Source organism: Homo sapiens, chromosome 11, assembly GCF_000001405.40.
Source record: "Homo sapiens chromosome 11, GRCh38.p14 Primary Assembly".
NCBI classification, from domain to species: Eukaryota; Metazoa; Chordata; class Mammalia; order Primates; family Hominidae; genus Homo; species Homo sapiens.
The window spans coordinates 117,986,173-118,003,119 of record NC_000011.10 but is presented as its reverse complement, the minus strand read 5'-3'; the positions used below and the strand labels follow the sequence as shown (position 1 = coordinate 118,003,119).

Genomic DNA, 16,947 nt, shown 5'->3' with positions numbered 1-16,947 from the left:
TGTGTCTTCTGTGAAAGTGTGAACACTGAGGCCGGGGGATGAATATATGCTGGGTAGACAAGGCACACCCTGACTATAGCTATTTACAAAGTTGGGAAAACACAGTTTATTGAATTTCCTCTTCACTCAATGGTGGCCCATTTACCCCCTCTCTGTACTAAGAGGAAGTTCCATTAGCTCACACAAAGACAGCATTACGCATTCCTCAGCTTGGAAAAGCCCTTGAAGGAGATTGCTCAGTTGAAGAACAGCTGGGGCCTTCTGTTGGGGGCTGTAATCCAAATTCCCAAGAAATCTGCAAGTGTCTCATCAGCCCCGGCTGCTTGGAAGGACTCGCTCAGTTTCTCCCAAGGGCCTGTCTGTGGTGAGTGGTTACAGAGCAGCCTCAAAGCAGAGATGAACCAGCGCAAACTCCTACTCATTCCACAGAAACGGAGCAGGCAGGGCCTGCACCAAGGGCTGTGTCTTCTGACTTCCTTCTGTCCTGCAAGCTGCTCTTTGATCTGTCGTATCCAACCAAACTGGCTGCAGTTCCTTGAATGTAATTCCTTTTACTCTCTGAATCTTTATATTTAGACCTTAGGGGCCTTTTCCATGGGGAATAAGCCATCGCTAACACCTCATTTCCAGGAGAAAGTGACCAACACTACTTTTCTTTCCAATATTGACAAGGAGGGCTCTAGGGCAAAAGCCTGAGCAGGTCTGAAATGGCGTGATATTAGTCAAGTTCTCTGAAGATGATAGGATCAGCACTTCCTCAGAACTAGTTATTTTCTCAGAATGAACTGGGTGAGGCAAGATTGGAGATGACACAGGGGAAAAGAGGTGAGGTGTCCCCAGTCACCTTCTAGGGGATTCAGGTAGGACGAAGAGAAAAGCACACCCAGGAAGCTCAGGCCGCGGGCCTGGGTTTGTTCTACCCACTGGGCTGAGCATGGGGAGAAATTCAAACCCACATGGGGTTTTTCATGGAGGGAGCAGGCTGCTTCTAGAATAGAGTGCAGATGGCTTCCGCACTTAGGAGAACCACCACTGGGACATGCCTCCTGGGCAAGGGGAGCCAGGGACAGGGCTCTGGGAACAGAGCTCCAGGGAGGCCCAGTTTGCTGTCTTCCTGGAAAGGAGGGGTTTCCAGGTTCTTCTCTCCACATTGTCAGAACTCACATCCAAAACGTTGCATTGTGCTTTCCACCTCTTCCTTTTCTGTCTTCTGAAAGAGTCCCGCTGCACACTCCTTATCGCTTTCATTTTCACTTGTTTCCAAGAAAAGCTGTCCATTTTTCTTTACAGACTCAACAGCCAATGACAGCTAGTGGCACATAGTACCACATGCCTGGCACCATGTTAAACTTTTTATGTGCAATTTCATTTACACCTCACAACATCCTCATGGGGAGTTGTCAACTCCACGTGACAGGTGGGGAAATTAAAACTTGGAGAGGATAAGTAATGGGCCCAAGGTCACAATACAGGTAGCATGAGGACTCCCTGGGTCTGTCAGATTTAAGCCTGAGTCCTCAGCCCTGTTTCCTTAAAGTGACATCACACATCCCACACATTATTACCCTCCTCATTATCAACAACCGAGTCCTCCATGAGCCAATGTGCCATCAGCAATCTGACTAGTTTCACACGATTCCTGTGGTCTTGACAATTTATTGGAATAAAAAACATGTATCACTTATTGACAGAGCTTTGTGTTCAAGGCACATTCATACCCATTTCCTCAGCAGAACCTCACATCCCTACGAATTAGACAAGTCAGTCATTATTCTGCAGATGAGGAAACTGAGGCTCCAAGAGGATAAGTGACTTCTCCAAGGTCATACCACTGGAAACAGCAAAGTCAGAGCTAGAATTTCGGGGCTCCTGAGATATCCAGAATTCTTTCACTGTGCAATGCTGCCTCTCCAATAAATAAATGAACAAAATAAATAAATAAAGCTTTCAAGGGAACCCTGAGGAATCCTCCCTCAAGCCTGCCTCCAGAGGGAGTTCAGTTACCAGACTGGCACCTAAGAGTACTTTGGCAGAGGGGTGGGGGTCATGGCTGGATTCCCTGGGCCAGAATATCTGTTTTCAGAATGCTCCAGAGAAAGGCAGGGCTGAGATGACTCTGGATGGCACGCACAGGCCTGTCCCCTCACAGCTTCCATGCCTGTGGACTGAACTGCCTTTGTTTGAAGGCAGAGTCCAAATGGCCTATGGGGAGGCAGGGCCCATAATGCCCCCTTCTGGGGCTGTGTCTGATACTGTCTTGGCATGACACCATGGACTCCCATTGGATCTGTTAGCCTCTGGCATAAGAAACAAGCCAGCTTGGTAGTCCACGGACAGTATCTGCATTCTCCCAGGACCAGCTTGGCTAATACCCAGCAAACATGGAGGGTCCCCTAAAGGTGGAGTCCTTATTTCACAGATGGGAGATTGAGGCCCTCTGACAAGTGGCTAGTCCAAAATCACACAGCTGAACACCAACAAGGCAGGGACCCCAGCCCAGTGCCCAGTGGCTTATCCTCTGGGTCTGTAGCTGGACATTAGCAGCAAACACAAGCACAGGCCTCCAACCCTGACCCTCTGGGGCTGGCATGAGCTGGTGCCCAAGCCCAGAGGCCGCCCAAAGGGCTGAGTTATGACCAATACAAAAAACCATGGCTTCTCTGGAAGTTGTCAGCAAGATGGTGGGGCAGCAAAGTGAGGATGTGAGTGGCTTGGCCTCAGCAAGTGCCCCAGGGGGATGCTACTCCATTTGTTGGAGAGAGGGAGATATTTGCAGATGGGTGCCAGAGGTACCCACCAGAGGGATGGGTTCTGAGCTGGAAGCCCCATCCAGGGTCTCGGCTCCCTTTGTCTCCCCTCAGTGAATCCATTATGATGTGTTTGAGTGTCCAGAAAATATATACCTTAAGATCTTCCAGTGACAAGCTTCCTGCCCCAGAGGCCCGATGAGGGGAGGTTCCCCATGTGACCATCATATCCTCCTTTTTCCCCTAAAAATGACCCCAGCAGCAAGGCCCTGAAGCTTCCATTCCTACAGCCCTTCCTCCTGCTGGAAGCTCTGATGCTCGAGTGGCCTAAGCAGGGAGGTCTGGGTCTGAGCTGACTTCAGCCTGGTGGCCTCACCACAACTCCAGAAAGCCCCATGGTTCCCCTGAGCAAATAATCCTTTATGATACAGGAAAGAGTTCCTAGGAGGGAGAAGGTCCCTGCCCTTCTCAGCTCTGCCAGAGTCTGCAGGGCCCCAGTCAACAGAACAGGTCAGTGCCACCCACATACCCTGCACTAGTTCAGTGAGTTGGCCTCCTCCTGCCCCAGACACCCTGACCAGCCCTGCAGGGCCTGGCTGGGGCCAGCCCCAGTGGACTTGCAGAAAAGTGCCCAGACTGCCTCGTGCCTAACTTCTGCCCCAGGGGCCCTCCTCCTGGTCCAGGCAGAGGAGCAGGCATGGCTAAAATCAAAAGCAGCCTCTCAGCCCGAGTCACTCACTTGACTGCAGGCTAGAGATGAGGGGCAGGGTGACCAGGTCTGAGTTAAAGCTGCCCAGGAGACCACCTGGGGCTGCCACACAGCCTAGAGGGGCAAGGTCATGGGCAAAGCTCCAGTCAGATATTCCCAGGTCACTGCAGCTGCTCAAGGCCAGGAGTGACCATTCCTCAGTGGGCTGGTTCCACTGTCCCGTTGGGGCCCCTGAGGAAGCCAGAGTCATTTCTAGAGGATCCTGTTTCAAATAGCCCTTGGCCAGGGCTGGTGGATGCAAGCCTGCCTCATCAACCAGGCATCTCCCGAATTTGGGGCCAAGGCCATCTGTCAAGGGCGATTCTTCCTCCAGGCAGCCTGTCTTGGTTGCCTTCTCTTCAGCACATCTGGTCTGCCTCAGGTAACCCTGGAATGCCACAGCAGCTGGGTCTTCTTCCCCAGGCACCTCAGGCTCCGGGGGACTGTGGTGGCCCAAGGCCGAGCCACCCTGTGTGTCCCCAGCCCGGCCCTCAGAGTTTTGAACTAAGTCAATGCCACTGTCATCCTGGCCCCTGCTGTTGCTCCCCACCTGTTGCTCCCAGGTGGGCCCTGTGCTGGGGCTCAGGCTGGGCTCCTGCAGGCAGATCCCGCTGTCTGTGCTATTGCTGCTGCCACTACTGCAGCTGTCCCCCAGCACAGGGGGCTCCCTGTTTCCCAGCGTTCTGTCAGCCTGGGGGTGAGGGTCAGGGAGGAGGAACTGGGGCTCTTCAGTCTGCAGGGATGGCTTGGTGCTGCCAAAGCCACTGTCTGTGCTGCCGTGCAGGTCCAAGTTCTTCAGCTCTGGGGACACCTTCAAAAAGGCCTCCTCATCAAGCGGGTGGATGGTGTCTTGGGTCTCTGGGGAGGGACGCTGGCTGATGAAGATGAAGGGGCTGGGCTTCTTGAAGAGCTGGGGAAGAGAGGGCAGAGTGAGAGAAGCAGGAGTCACCTTCCAGCACCCATCCCAGTGCTGCCGGGGAAGGCCAGGCCCAGGAGGAGAGCTCGATGGAGGAGACTACAGTCTAAATTACACTGGAATGTATTCTGTTTTGTTTTCGAATCCAGCTTTCCTCCTAATGCAATTCCCAGTTTGGCTCAGGCCAGATACACAAGAAACTTGTATTCTCAGGCCCAGATGGAGTAACAGGCAGAACCAAGGTCTGCTGAGCATGGTGAAAACTCTCAGGTGGCTCCATCCACAGTGCTTTTCAAACCTGAAAGCAGGCTAGACCCATCTAGAAGCATGTTTCAAACTTTTTTGACTATGACTCAAAATCAGAAATAAGTTGCATAATGACTTGTATATATAACCCGTATGTAAATAACTGAAACCAGTTTCACAAAATAATACTCATCATTATGAGCTGTGCCACGATATTTCTGCAGTTCTTATTCTATTGTATCCCAGTCTATGCCCTCCTGCCTACTTCATTTTCTAAAATTCTGGATGTAAGACACCAAATTAAGTTTTCTATTCCCCGAGTAGTGACTCACGCGAACATGGTGGCTGCAGCGTGGGGCAGTGGCACAAGTGTGGAACTCACAGTGAAGGGGCTGCTCTCTGTTAATTGCCAAGGGTTTCAAGGAAGCCACATAACCCCTCTGCCCTAGCCACACTGGTGTTCTTTCTGTCCCAGAACACATCAAGCACCGTGCTGCCTCAGGGCCTTTGCACACACTCTCCCTCCTGCTTGAAATGCTCTCGGCACTTTATATGGCTGTGTCCTGTACATGGCTTAGGTCTCAGCTCAGATGTCACTTCTTCAGCAAAGCCTTCCTGAATACCTTGCCTAAAGCAGTACTCCTGCCACTCTCTCCACATTAACCCTGTTACTTCTTCCTAGCACTTTGTTCCTAGAATTATTTTACTTGTTTGTTTTCGTCTCTCACCATACACACACTCACTTACTCCACATTCCCAAAAGAACACAAACTCCTTGAGGGCAGGAACTGTCTAGTGTTGTTTACTACCCTGTCTCCAGAGTCTAAACTGAGCTGGCACACAGTAGGCCCTCCTAAGGTCTGCCGACTGACTCACTGACTCACTGTTGCACATCTGCCCTCATTTCCTTGGTACATGATGATTCAAATGCAGCTCTTATTGGTTGAGTCCCTATTCCTATCACATTGCTTGGTGATTTAGGATGTGTCCTCTAGAGCCAGACTTCCTGGGTTCAAATCCCAGCTCTGACTCTTATCAGCTTTGTCACCCTGACCAAATTACTTACCCTCTCTGTGCTTTAGTTCCTCATCTGTAACATGGAAATAATGACAGTACCTGCCTCCTTATGTTGTAATGTGTCTACAGTGCTTAGAACAAAGTGTGGTACATAGAAGGTGCTCAATAAATATATGTTGAATTGAACTTTACCCTCCAATAATTCTGTAAGAGAAGTATTATTACCTCTATTTCCTAGAGGAGAAAACTGAAGCTCAGAGAAGTTAAATGACTTGCACAAAGTGGCACAACAGTAAAGAACACATCTGGAATTCATCCTCAACTGTCCTGATTTGAAATCCCTTCCTTGTCCAATAATACTTACCTTGATGAACTGTTGAAAGATCAAATCAAACAAGCTAATGAATGAGAACAAACTAATGAATGTGTCAGTGCTCTGTGCATTATAATTTATTCATGTGGTAATGACTACGATCATCAGATGAAGGGATTGAGCTATATTTATCCTGAAGAGAAAAAACCCTCAAGGACAAGTCAGTTCTGTGATCCAAAAGTACAGAAGGGGCAGGGTGCGGTGGCTCATGCCTATAATCCTAGCACTTTGGGAGGCCGAGGTGGGCATATCACCGGAGGTCAGGAGTTCGAGACCAGCCTGGTCAACACCCCGTCTCTACTAAAAATACAAAAATTAGCCAGGCATGGTGGCAGATGCCTGTAATCCCAGCTACTCGGGAGGCTAAGGCAGGAGAATCACTGGAACCTGAGAGGGTGAGGCTGCAAGTGAGCTGAGATTGTGCCACTGCACTTGTCTCTCGTCTTGTTTTCCCTAGAGATCCCAGGATCGCTCTGGAGATTCCCCTTCCAGTTGTGGGGCCCCTGCCTTGCAGACGGAGCTGGTTCCTTCCCAGCTGATCCCTCAGCCATCATGCAATAGTGCCAGCTATGGAGGCTATGGTGGGCAATCTTCAATGCGGCCTGAACTCCAGGCCAGAGACCAGGCCGAGGTTTGGAAAATGCTGCCCAATCTTTGCAAGCTGAGTTTTGGAGACTGGCTTGCCACAAATGTATCATTTGTCAGTACAATGTAGCAAGAGGACACACCCTGGGAGGGGAGGAGGGCTTGGCCTCCTCCATGAGCCCCTCCCTGTCCCCTGCCAGCATCCCCTCTCCAGTGGCGCAGCATCCCCACCGCCCCCCAGTGTCCTCTCTCCTCTGGCCCACTCTGGCAGCAGCCCGAGGACCAGCACTTCTGGCCTTTCCTTCTTTCTCTCTTGTGGAACACCCATGGCTAATAGCAGTAGGAAAGTGGGTTCCCTCCCTGACTCTTCCTGGCTGTGTGGCCCTCTGTGTGTAACAATCTCTCTGTGCCTCAGTTTCCTCACTTATGAAATGGGGATAATAACTGTGCCTCATAATCAGAGATGCAATGCACAGGGGCTAGTCCATGGCCAACTACTAGTAGATCATATCAAAATGGCTCGTGGTCATTGAGATTTGTGATTCCATGTGTCTCATCTGAGCTACTGGATGGCAACATTCTCGGTACTGGGCTTCATGCTCACTTCCTCCCTCTGTCCCCACAGCGCTTGATGAAGGTATCTCCCAATCACATCAGGGCTGAGAGCAGAGGCAAGCTAAGGCAATGGACTGGCTGGGAGGAAAAGAGCTCCCTGCCCTCCTGGAAGCTCGGGTGTGGCTGGGAAGGACGGGGCAGTGACCTCCTTGCAAGACTCACCAGGACACTGGGTAGCTTCTTTCGGCGCCGCACATACAGCTGGAGGGCCAGGCAGTAGGCGAGGGCTCCGGAGAGCAGCAGGACAAAGGCAAAGAAGATGATGACGTTGGTCACGGTGAAATCTGCAGGCCCAGAGAGATGTGTTTGTGGCCTGTCACCATGGGGCACGGTGATTCTGGACATAGGACTCTGGTCCCATGAAATCCATTGCCCACTGTCAGGAACCATTCAGTGAGTGGCCCAAGGCAAACTACAGGCCACAACTCTAGATGTGTCTAGGTTTCTGCGAATCCCTACCTGGCCTTCCAAACCATGCCCTGAAGGATTCCCTCAGGAGATGCGCTAACTGCTTCCAGCTCTCTGCACATGACTCCCATCACAGCAAACAGAACAGTGAGGCAGGATGGTACAGCAGGTAAGAATCGAGGCTCCGGGGGCTGCTAGATCTGGGTTCAAGTCCCAGCTTCACCACTTACTAGCTGTGCAATTGTGGACAAATTAATTACTCTGTCAGAGCCACTGACCTCATAAGGTAGTTGTGAAGTACACAGCACTGACCATGTACCAATACCATCAGATTCTTTTAACTTTTATACTTATAGGAGGTAAATACTATCATCAGCCCCATTTTTACATATTAGGATCCTGAAGCACATAGAAGTTAAGTAATTTGCCCAAAGTCATATACCTCAAAAGTTGTAAAGCTGAGATTTGGAACTATTTCATGTATCAGTGAATGAATGTATGAAAAACTCTTAAGACTGCCTGATACCCACTTAGTGCCTTCCTCTGCATTGAGACTTAAATGACACTGAGCTGTTGAGTGTCCTTCACAAACTGAAATTTGTTGCAGATCTAGCAGGAGTCACTTTCACCTTTGCCAGACTCTGCCCACACTGGACTGGGCCCTCCCAGAGCACTTACTGTTGGCATGTTTCATTGGGCACTGGACATCTCATCTGCTGTCCAATAAGAGTTGCTTGTTACAGTCTCCTCTGTGCACACTCTATCTCCCCAGCCAGGATGCAAGATCCTCCTAGGCAAGACCGTGGCCTCCATGTCCTCTATTATCTCCCTCCCCCTACAGCCCCGGCACCTGACTGACAGCCTGGAGCAGTATTTGCTGACTTTAGCAGCTCTGGCGAGGAGCAGAGCAGAGTAGGGGAAGTAAGGAGAAGCCCTTTGTATCCCTGGCTCTGAGGAAGAACAGCAGAAGACTGTAACAACAGGAACTAGCACAGCTCACTGAAGATGGCCCCGGGGGAGGGGGATGTTGTTGGGAAACACCGCTGTGCTCCAGTGGGAGGACCCTAGATCCAAGAGACCTGGTTCTGCCACCAAGTCCTAGCTGTGCAACCCTAGGAAGTTGCTAATACTGAGCCTCAGTTCCCTCATCTCTAAAATGAGGACAGTAGGACCTCTCTCCTATTAAGGATGCAGAGCTATGTGAAGCAGCACCTAACACAGTGGCTGGCACCAGCATCCCAGGTGCACGCGTTTTGGATTGCACCAGGCCCTCCCAGTCTCCCTCCCCATGCTGAGAGCAGCCCAGCTGACTCACACTGCCTGGTGAGGGAGATGCACTCCTCTTTAGACCACATCCCCTTGTTACTTCGGGAAGCGACAGATGGTTTCACCTGGACACAGAACTCTCCCACTTCTCCAGAGGTTAGGAGGCTGAAGTTTTCATGTTTTACTTTCTTGTGTGTGAACTGAAACAAAAATGATAGCAATTAACAAAATCCTTTTATTTCATGGCACACGGACACTGAGAGCTGGTGGGCCTTTAGAGGTGATTTCAGCCAACCCCCTTCAGTATCCTTTGTCTAAGATGACAAACCCCACAATTACCAATGCAGCACATGATCTCTGTAATGACCACAATTTTATTTTGTATTTTAAAAGAAAAAGCGGTGTTTTATAGATGCTGAAGATCTTCCCAGAAGGGGCTGGAATCAACAGTGGTGGAGAGGAGAGAGGGTGGATTTTGCAGATGCCAGCTCTCCCATAACAGGGGCGCCCTCTGGTAGGTTACACAGCCTCTCAGAGCCTTATTGCTTCATCTACAAGGGCTCTGGGGTGCCCAATTGCCCTAGTAGGCAATTCCTTTGAGGAGCATCTCACAAGAGCATAGCTCTGAGGGCTGAGGTGGTTTCTACTCCCTCCTCTGCCCACCCACCATCCCAGACCCTCCCTTTAGTCCATAAGCAAAGTTCCCAATGGCACACAAGGGTGCTTCCAGCCCAGGGGACAGGGAAGCCAAGGGAGTTCTGGCCCTGGGGCCTTGGGGAACCCCATACCGTGAAGTTTCCCGGCACCTTGCGAATGGCAATCTCATACTCTCGGAAGTGACTGAAGATGCTTTCATATGTGTCATTTGCGGGGGCCATCTTGGGCCTGGGTAGCTGAATCTTCCCGAGGATGAAGCCATTGTGGATCTCTAGGTTCACACTGCCAACTGTCAGAGTCACTAAATGGAGTTGGGGTGGGGGGGAATACCATGAGACTTGAGGGCTGAGGAGGGCCTGGGTGTCCCCGCCGAGACTTTGCCTCCAGAATTAAGCTTAATTAGAACCTAGGCCTAAAACTTGGCCACAGGTTTGTCAATGCAGCAGAATGTAAGGACTTCTTGGGGAGCACATTAAAAATACATATACCCTAAAATCAGATGCATCAACCAATGGAATATGATGGACAGCCCAGAAATAAACCCACAATTGATTTTCAACAAAGGGGCCAAGAACACACAATGGGAAAAGAACAGTCTCTTCAACAAATGGTGTTGGGAAAACTGGATATTCACAAACAGAACAATGAAAATAGATCTTTGTCTCACCTCTTACGCAACAATCAACACAAAATGGATTAAAGACAAATGTAACACCTGAAACTATAAAAACCACCAGAAGAAAACCTGGGGCAAAGTTCTAAGACTTTGGTCTGGGCAAAGATTTCTTGGATACGATCCCTAAAGCACAGGCAACAAAAGCAAAAATAGACAAATGGGATTGCATCACACTAAAGAGCTTCTGCACAGCAAAAGAAACAACCACTAGAGTGAAGACACAATCTATGAATGGGTGGAAAATATTTACAAATGTTCATTGAATAAGGGGTTCATATCCAAAATATACAAGGAACTCATACTACTTAATAACAAGAAAACAAATAAACCTGTTTTTAAAATGGGTAAAGGACTTGAATAGACAGTTAAAAGAAGACATACAAATGACCAACAGATACATGAAAAAATGGTCAACATCTCTAATCATCAGAGAAATGCAAATTAAAACCACAATGAGATACCACTCCACACCTGTTAGATTGGCTATTATCCAAAAGATGGAAGTAACAAGCATTGGCAAGGATGTGGTGAAAAGGGAAACCCTTGCATGTCGCTGGTGGTGAATTTCTCAGCCATTATGGAAAACAGTATGGATGTTCCTCGAAAATCTAAAAATAGAGCTACCATGTGATCCAGCAATTCCCACTACTGGGTATATATCGAAAGATATTGAAATTAGTGTATTGAAGAGATACCTGTATCCCCCGTTCATTGCAGTATTATTCATAACAGCCAAGATATGGAAATGCCCACCAATGGATGAATGGGTTTTTTAAATGTGGTATGTATATACAACAGAATCCTATTCAGCCTTGAAAAATAGGAAACTGAGGCCCGGCCCAGTGGCTCACGCCTGTAATCCTAGCACTTTGGGAGGCTTAGGCGGGTGGATCATTTGAGGTCAGGAGTCCGAGACCAGCCTGGCCAACATGGTGAAACCCCATCTCTATTAAAAATACAAAAATTAGCCGGGCATGGTGGCACGTGCCTGTAATCCCAGCTACTAAGGAGGCTGAAGCAAGAGAATCTCTTGAACTCGGGAGGCGGAGGTTGAAGTGAGATGAGATCAAGACATTGCACTGCAGCCTGGGTGACAGAGCAAGACTTTGTCTCAAATTGAAAAAAAAGGAAACTCTCATTTGGGACAACACAGATGGACCTAGAGGACATCATGAGCGAAATAAGCCAGGTGCAAAGAGATAAATGCCATAAGATCTCACTTATGTATAGAATCTAAGTAGAATTCTTTTAGAATTCAATTCATAGAAGTAGAGAGTAGAAGTGGTTACCAGAAGCTGGAAGGAGGCAGGTGGGAGAAGTGGATAGGGAACAAGGAGAGGGGTACCAAGTTACAGTGAGACAGGAGGAATAAGTTCTGGTGCCTATTGCACGGCAAGGTGACTGTAGTAATAATAATGGACTGTATATTTCAAAATAGCTGAAAGATAATATTTTAAATGTTTTTGGCACAAAGAAATGCTAAATATTTGAGGTGATAGATATTCTAATTACCTTGATTTGATCATTCCACAAGGTATACATGTATTATGTATACATAACACTGTACCTCATAAACATGTAGAATTATTACTTGTCAATTAAAAGAAAAACTTTTTTATAAAACGTTTTCAACACTTTACTGTTTTTTGTTTATTTGTTTGTTTTTTTGAGACAGAGTCTCGCTCTGTCACCCAGACTGGAGTGCAATGGCTTGATCTTGGCTCACTGCAACCTCTGCCTCCTGAGTTCAAGTGATTCTCCTGCCTCAGCCTCCCTGAGTAGCTGAGACTACAGGTGCACGCCACCACGCCCGGCTAATTTTTGTATTTTTAGAAGAGATGGGGTTTCACCTTGTCAGCCAGGCTGGTCTCAAACTCCTGACCTCAGGTGATCCACCCACCTTGGCCTCCCAAAGTGCTGGGATTACAGCCGTGAGCCACCGAGCCCAGCCCAACACTTTACTGTTAAGCATAATATTTATGGTAGATATGTGTAGATAGATACCTTTCTACAGGTTAGGACATTTTCTTTCTACTTTAACTTTGCTTAGTTTCTTTTTAAATGTTGTTTTCTTTTTTAAATGGTTAATGTGATAAATTGCATTGATTATATTTTTATGTAGAAATTTCCAATAGACAGAAAAGTAGAAGAGAATATAATGATTTCCAAAGTCCCAGCTTTAGTAATTGCAAACACTAGGCCAATTTTGAAGTAATTGGTGGCAGGGGAGGGTCATCAATATCCCCCCATGAAATTTACTTTAGCATTTTAAAGAAAAATCCCAAGCACTGTATTACTTAATTCCTAATTACGTAAGTATGTATCTCTCACATATCACACCTTTGTAAATATAACTACCATGCTGTTATCACATGTAACAAACAAATACCTAGTAATATGCCCTAAAAACCATTTCATATACAAATATGGTGATTTCCTCAAAAATGTCTTTTTATAATTGCCTTGCTCAAATCAAAATACAAAGAAGAACAAAATGTTAAAAAAAAAAAAAATACAGATGCCCTGGGCCCATTCAAGACACAGTTGGTCTGAATTTCTGAGGCTGGGCCCTGGAAATAGATATTTTAAACACACTTGCTGGGAAACGTTTCTGCACCAGCTGAGCAGTGGCCTGTGGGCAGGCATTTGGAAGCCAATGACCTCCTAGACCATCGGCTCTAACTCTGAATCCTACAGAGCGAGGTCTCCATGCACACAAAACTTTCTCAATCCCAACTGGTGGGATGAAAAATCCCACTGAGTTGGGGGCTTATCCTTTCCTCTTACCTCTCCAGAGAGGGATCCATAACTTCTCTTTAGTAGCACTTCCCATTTCAAAGGGATGACCCCTGGGTGTTCACCCCTAAAGAAGCGGGGCGTTCACCCAAATTCTGCCTACTGCTTGCTGCCCTATGCTGAGTGTTCATGGATTCGCTTCCTCTCCCTGAACCCTCCCTGAAAAAACAAGTTCACAGGCCTGGACCTGGTGACTCAGCTGTCCCAACCCACCCCAAGACCTCTCTTCTGTAGGATAAACAACTCCAGTTCCCTTTTAAATCTCAAACAACTTGGGCTATTTTTATCTAACATTCTCCAAAGTCCTGCCCTGTTTGGGCAACTAGTTCTCCGGCCAGGGAGGCTGGCAGACATGGTGAGCTATGGTAATAGACAGAAAAGCTCTAGACTAGAGTTCCTGGCTGGAAGGGACTTCAGAGCCATGTTCTAAGTCAAGGGAGGAAAAGCACCTTCATCCACAGAGAAGCGGGTGTTGGTGACGGTCCAGTTGGAGTGCCGGCTGCCGTCCACAGCCCGCACTCTGGCCCGGTAGCCATTGCTGTGGTACAGGTCCAAGGTCACTGCGGTAAGGTCATAGGACAGGGTCTGGCTACAGTTGGAGATGGAGTTCCAGGACTCTATTCCATACCTGAGGAGATACCAGGTTAGGCACTGGAAACGAGCTTGTGCTCAATCCTACCTCCTTTAAGGGAGACGCAAGAGGCCAGGAAGAGAGCTCCCACATTGGGAGAAACTGGGACAGCCCTCAGGCTATATCCTCTAGTCCACGGCAGCTCATTGTGAGGGGTCTCCCTTGGTCTTGGGACCCCGTACCAATTTCCATGTGGTCTAGCAGATTTTTAGATAGGAATACGAGTAGGCCCAGCTCTTCCAGAAATTCTTTCTGGCTCCTACAGCACAGCCTGGTCTCTCCCTTCTCCCCACTGCCTTTACAGTCATTAGTGTTCCCCTGTTGTCTGGCTGTACTGTGGATGCTTCTCCTTTTCCAGTAAGATAGAAAAGCCTTGGAGGCCGGAGGTGGTGGCTCACGCCAGTAATCCCAGCCCTTTGGGAGGCTGAGGCGGGTGGATCACCTGAAGTCAGGAGTTCGAGACCAGCCTGGCCAACATGGTGAAAACCCGTCTCTACTAAAAATGCAAACATTAGCCAGGCATGGTGGTGGACCCCTGTAATCCCAGCTACTTGGGAGGCTGAGATGGGAGAATTGCTTGAACCCAGGAGGCAGAGGCTGCAGTGAGCTGAGATTGCGCCACTGCACTCCAGCCTGGGTGACAGAGCGAGAAGCTGTCTCAACGAAACAAAACAAAACAAAACAAAAAAGAGAAAAGCCTTGGCACAAGGCTTTTCTTACTCTGGAGTGAGCAAAGGCTCTGGCCTTTTCACCCAGAGCTCCCGGCACATTGCTCAGCAAGGGAGTCTCAGTCAGTACTTGTCAACTGCTGGCTATGTGTTAGGGGCCCTCAGGCACTCACTTCATTAACAAGGCAGGTATCTTCCCATGCTAGGAGAGTAGAGGACAAGGCGGGGATTCACTCCTCCCTCCCCCTCCCTCTTCCCTTTTCCTCACCTCAGGAGCGCCACTTCATAGCAGGTACTTTCAGACTGATTTGGGATGGGTGTCCAGTGGAGGATGTGGTGGAAAAATTCTGCTTCAAACCACACAGACGGAGGGCTGGGCAGCTCTGTCCCTGGGGAGAAGAGTGTCAGTACCACAGCTGGGAGGGGGGGCAGGCATTGATGACCCCAATTTTACCAAAGAAGAAAGGGAGGTTCAGAGAGGCTATGACTCGCCCGAGGCCAGCGGAGCCCGTAAGGGGCAGAGTGGGCACATGAATCCACATGTGTCTGATTCTAGAGCTAGTGTGTCTCCCTAAATCACTGCCCTGTGCTCTCTGTGATCAGAAGCTGCAGTGGGGGCTGAGAAGAGCCAAGCTGAGTCTGATGCCTACCAGGGAAGAAGGCAGGGGCCGAGGGCTAAGCAAGTTGGCAATGAGCTCTCAGATGTGTTAGTCCCTGGCTCTGCCCAATCCCTGTCCCTGCTCTAGCACTATTCCTAGGCTTGGCCCCATCCACACACCTGATCCCCACCCTGGCTTGGCCCAGGCTCCAGCTCAAAGCCACCTCACTAAGTACACAGACAGCCTGCTTGCTGACATCTGCCTCCTTCTCTTCATAGGTCTCCTGGGCTCCCCAAGCTAAGTGCTTGCCTCATTCCCTAGTTTCTGGGAGGGCTTTGCCTATAGCCAGATGTCCAACCTCTGGCTGGGCAAGGACAGATGGAATAAATCAGCTCTGGCTCTACACATGGCTGAGGACATCCCCACAAGAGCTGGCACCTGTAGCTCCGAGGAGAGATACTCAATACCAATTCCTAGCTCTACTCTCCCTTTACCCCCAGTACACACCATTCACCATGGGAAACACTGCTGAAGGCATTGTCTTCTTTGTAAGAATGCAACAAACATTTCTACTTTAAGAGTCTTGTTGATCAAGCAGACTGAAGTATGTGCAAGGCCAACGGCTGGTTGGTTCCCTTTCTCTCCTCCTTGATCCTCTAAGTTCTCTCCATTTGACAGCGACTCTGCTCCCGCTCCCTAGTGTTCTAACTTCTCTACATCTCTCTAATCATGCACCTGTTTTTTATTTATTTTTTGGGGGGGAGGACTCTGTCATCTGTCTCTTGCTTTCTTTCTTATACCGTCTTTGATCTTCACGTCAGTGCCTTGATTTCGAAACATTAGACGGAAAGTGAAAAATGCAGCGAGTCGTTGTGGTATTTGGGCTGCACATCTCCGACTCAGCTCTCGATCACGTGAATGGCTGACTGCATGTTTTACTTTGTATTTTGGTGTCATGAAGAAGCAGTTTCGGTCCTTGCTCTCTGTCTCTGCTCTTGGTCCTTCCAACTCCCGGCTCTTTCATTCTGTCTCTGGGGTTTACTTTTCTTAGTTGCAGAAACCTTGCCGGAGAACTGTCTGGGTTAGGAGCCTGAACTGGGTTAGAAGCCTGAACTGGCTGGGTTAGGAGGAGAGAGGCAGGGGGCAGTGGGAGTGAGTTGGGGGCTACAGGTGGAGCAAGGGGGATCAGATCGGGGTGATCAGTGAGGGATGAAGGTGAGATGGGAGAAGGACAGACAGAGGTTAGTTGAAGAGTCGACTAAGAGAAGGGAGAGTCAGGAGATCAAAATTATTCCCCAAGGGGACAAGAAGTCCCATCATTTGAACCTAAACAGCAAAAAACCTAGAGCTAAACTTACGGCTCATCTAGAAGTGGGTGGATGATGAGGTTTGCGGGTTGGGGGTTTGGCCTTGCGCATACTTCTCTATCCTTCCCAATCCGTCAGTTCCTGTCAATTTCAGCCTCTTCCACTTCCACAACAGGTGAGCCTGAGATCCAGGTTTGCCAGAGTAAGGGAGCACCCGGGCACCGCTCTGCCAGAGGGCCAGCCAGCCAGGGCTCTCCACTGGATGGAGAACTTTAATGGAGCGGGCGCGGAGAGGGCAGGGCAGGGAAGGGCCGCGTCCCGGAGCCTTACCATGAGCGTCTGAGCCAAGACGGAGGCTGAGGAGCGCCGCCAGCAGCACTACGAGGCACGGCAGCATCCTGGGCGCGCCGCATCGTCCGGGGCCGGAGCGGAGCCGGCCTGCGCGCCTCCAGCTACCCTTGGGCTGGGACTGACAGCTCCGCCGCCCGCTCCGCCAGCGCCCCGCAGGGCTGACGTCAGCGGGGCGAGGCCTACAGACGCCCCGCCCCCGAGGCCGCGGACGGGGAACCACTGTCCCACAGGGCTACCGCCTGGGGCAACCCGAGGCTGTCCTGGGGCGCTAGCGGGCTCCGGCCACCCCTCCCTTTCCTTCCCTCTGGGCCTCCAGTGCCTTCGGATCAAAGTGGTCCGGG

At 49.5% G+C, this 16,947-nt stretch overlaps 1 protein-coding gene across 5 annotated transcripts, besides 4 other annotated features; it reads right to left on the bottom strand.

Annotated features, from left to right (window-relative positions):
* IL10RA (interleukin 10 receptor subunit alpha) lies at positions 83 to 16,726 on the bottom strand. 5 transcript variants are annotated; one of them, NR_026691.2, is made up of 8 exons: positions 16,586 to 16,726; positions 16,307 to 16,436; positions 14,618 to 14,738; positions 13,500 to 13,678; positions 9,710 to 9,879; positions 8,971 to 9,121; positions 7,410 to 7,531; positions 83 to 4,405 (listed from the first exon to the last, which is right to left on the bottom strand). NR_026691.2 is itself a non-coding variant. In XM_047426882.1 (7 exons), the coding sequence occupies exons 1-7, from the start codon at positions 16,311 to 16,313 to the stop codon at positions 3,479 to 3,481; spliced, it is 1,677 nt and encodes a 558-aa protein (XP_047282838.1). In that variant the 5' UTR covers positions 16,314 to 16,726; the 3' UTR covers positions 83 to 3,478. The 5 variants fall into 5 exon arrangements, 4 of the variants coding, with proteins under 4 accessions (XP_047282838.1, XP_047282840.1, NP_001549.2 ...); XM_047426882.1 differs by having other exon boundaries at positions 16,307 to 16,726; NM_001558.4 differs by lacking the exon at positions 16,307 to 16,436 and having other exon boundaries at positions 1,637 to 4,405.
* Positions 3,737 to 4,238: an enhancer, noted in NCBI's record as "H3K4me1 hESC enhancer chr11:117869597-117870098 (GRCh37/hg19 assembly coordinates)". NCBI's record gives its function as "activates a minimal SCP1, AML or CMV promoter by ChIP-STARR-seq in naive H9 embryonic stem cells {active_cell/tissue: H9 hESC(naive)}" and the evidence as "EXISTENCE:reporter gene assay evidence [ECO:0000049][PMID:30033119]".
* Positions 8,370 to 8,539: an enhancer, noted in NCBI's record as "experimental_19171 CRE fragment used in MPRA reporter constructs". NCBI's record gives its function as "activates a minimal promoter by MPRAs in K562 erythroleukemia cells, with activity observed for both the introgressed and non-introgressed 11:117865381 variant alleles {active_cell/tissue: K562}" and the evidence as "EXISTENCE:reporter gene assay evidence [ECO:0000049][PMID:34662402]".
* Positions 15,549 to 15,848: an enhancer, noted in NCBI's record as "active region_5580". NCBI's record gives its function as "activates an Ori minimal core promoter by ATAC-STARR-seq in GM12878 lymphoblastoid cells {active_cell/tissue: GM12878}" and the evidence as "EXISTENCE:reporter gene assay evidence [ECO:0000049][PMID:35858748]".
* Positions 16,649 to 16,928: a silencer, noted in NCBI's record as "silent region_3941". NCBI's record gives its function as "represses an Ori minimal core promoter by ATAC-STARR-seq in GM12878 lymphoblastoid cells {active_cell/tissue: GM12878}" and the evidence as "EXISTENCE:reporter gene assay evidence [ECO:0000049][PMID:35858748]".

What these genes read in the sequence shown, in the direction of transcription:
- IL10RA (NM_001558.4), bottom strand. Translation starts at nt 16,652, where the DNA reads ATGCTGCCGTGCCTCGTAGTGCTGCTGGCGGCGCTCCTCAGCCTCCGT. An exon ending in AGGTGCCGGGAAACTTCACG is followed by an intron (nt 9,122 to 9,709) that starts GTATGGGGTTCC and finishes TTTTTGTTTCAG; the next exon opens with TTCACACACAAGAAAGTAAA. An exon ending in AGAAGCTACCCAGTGTCCTG is followed by an intron (nt 4,406 to 7,409) that starts GTGAGTCTTGCA and finishes TCTCTTCCCCAG; the next exon opens with CTCTTCAAGAAGCCCAGCCC.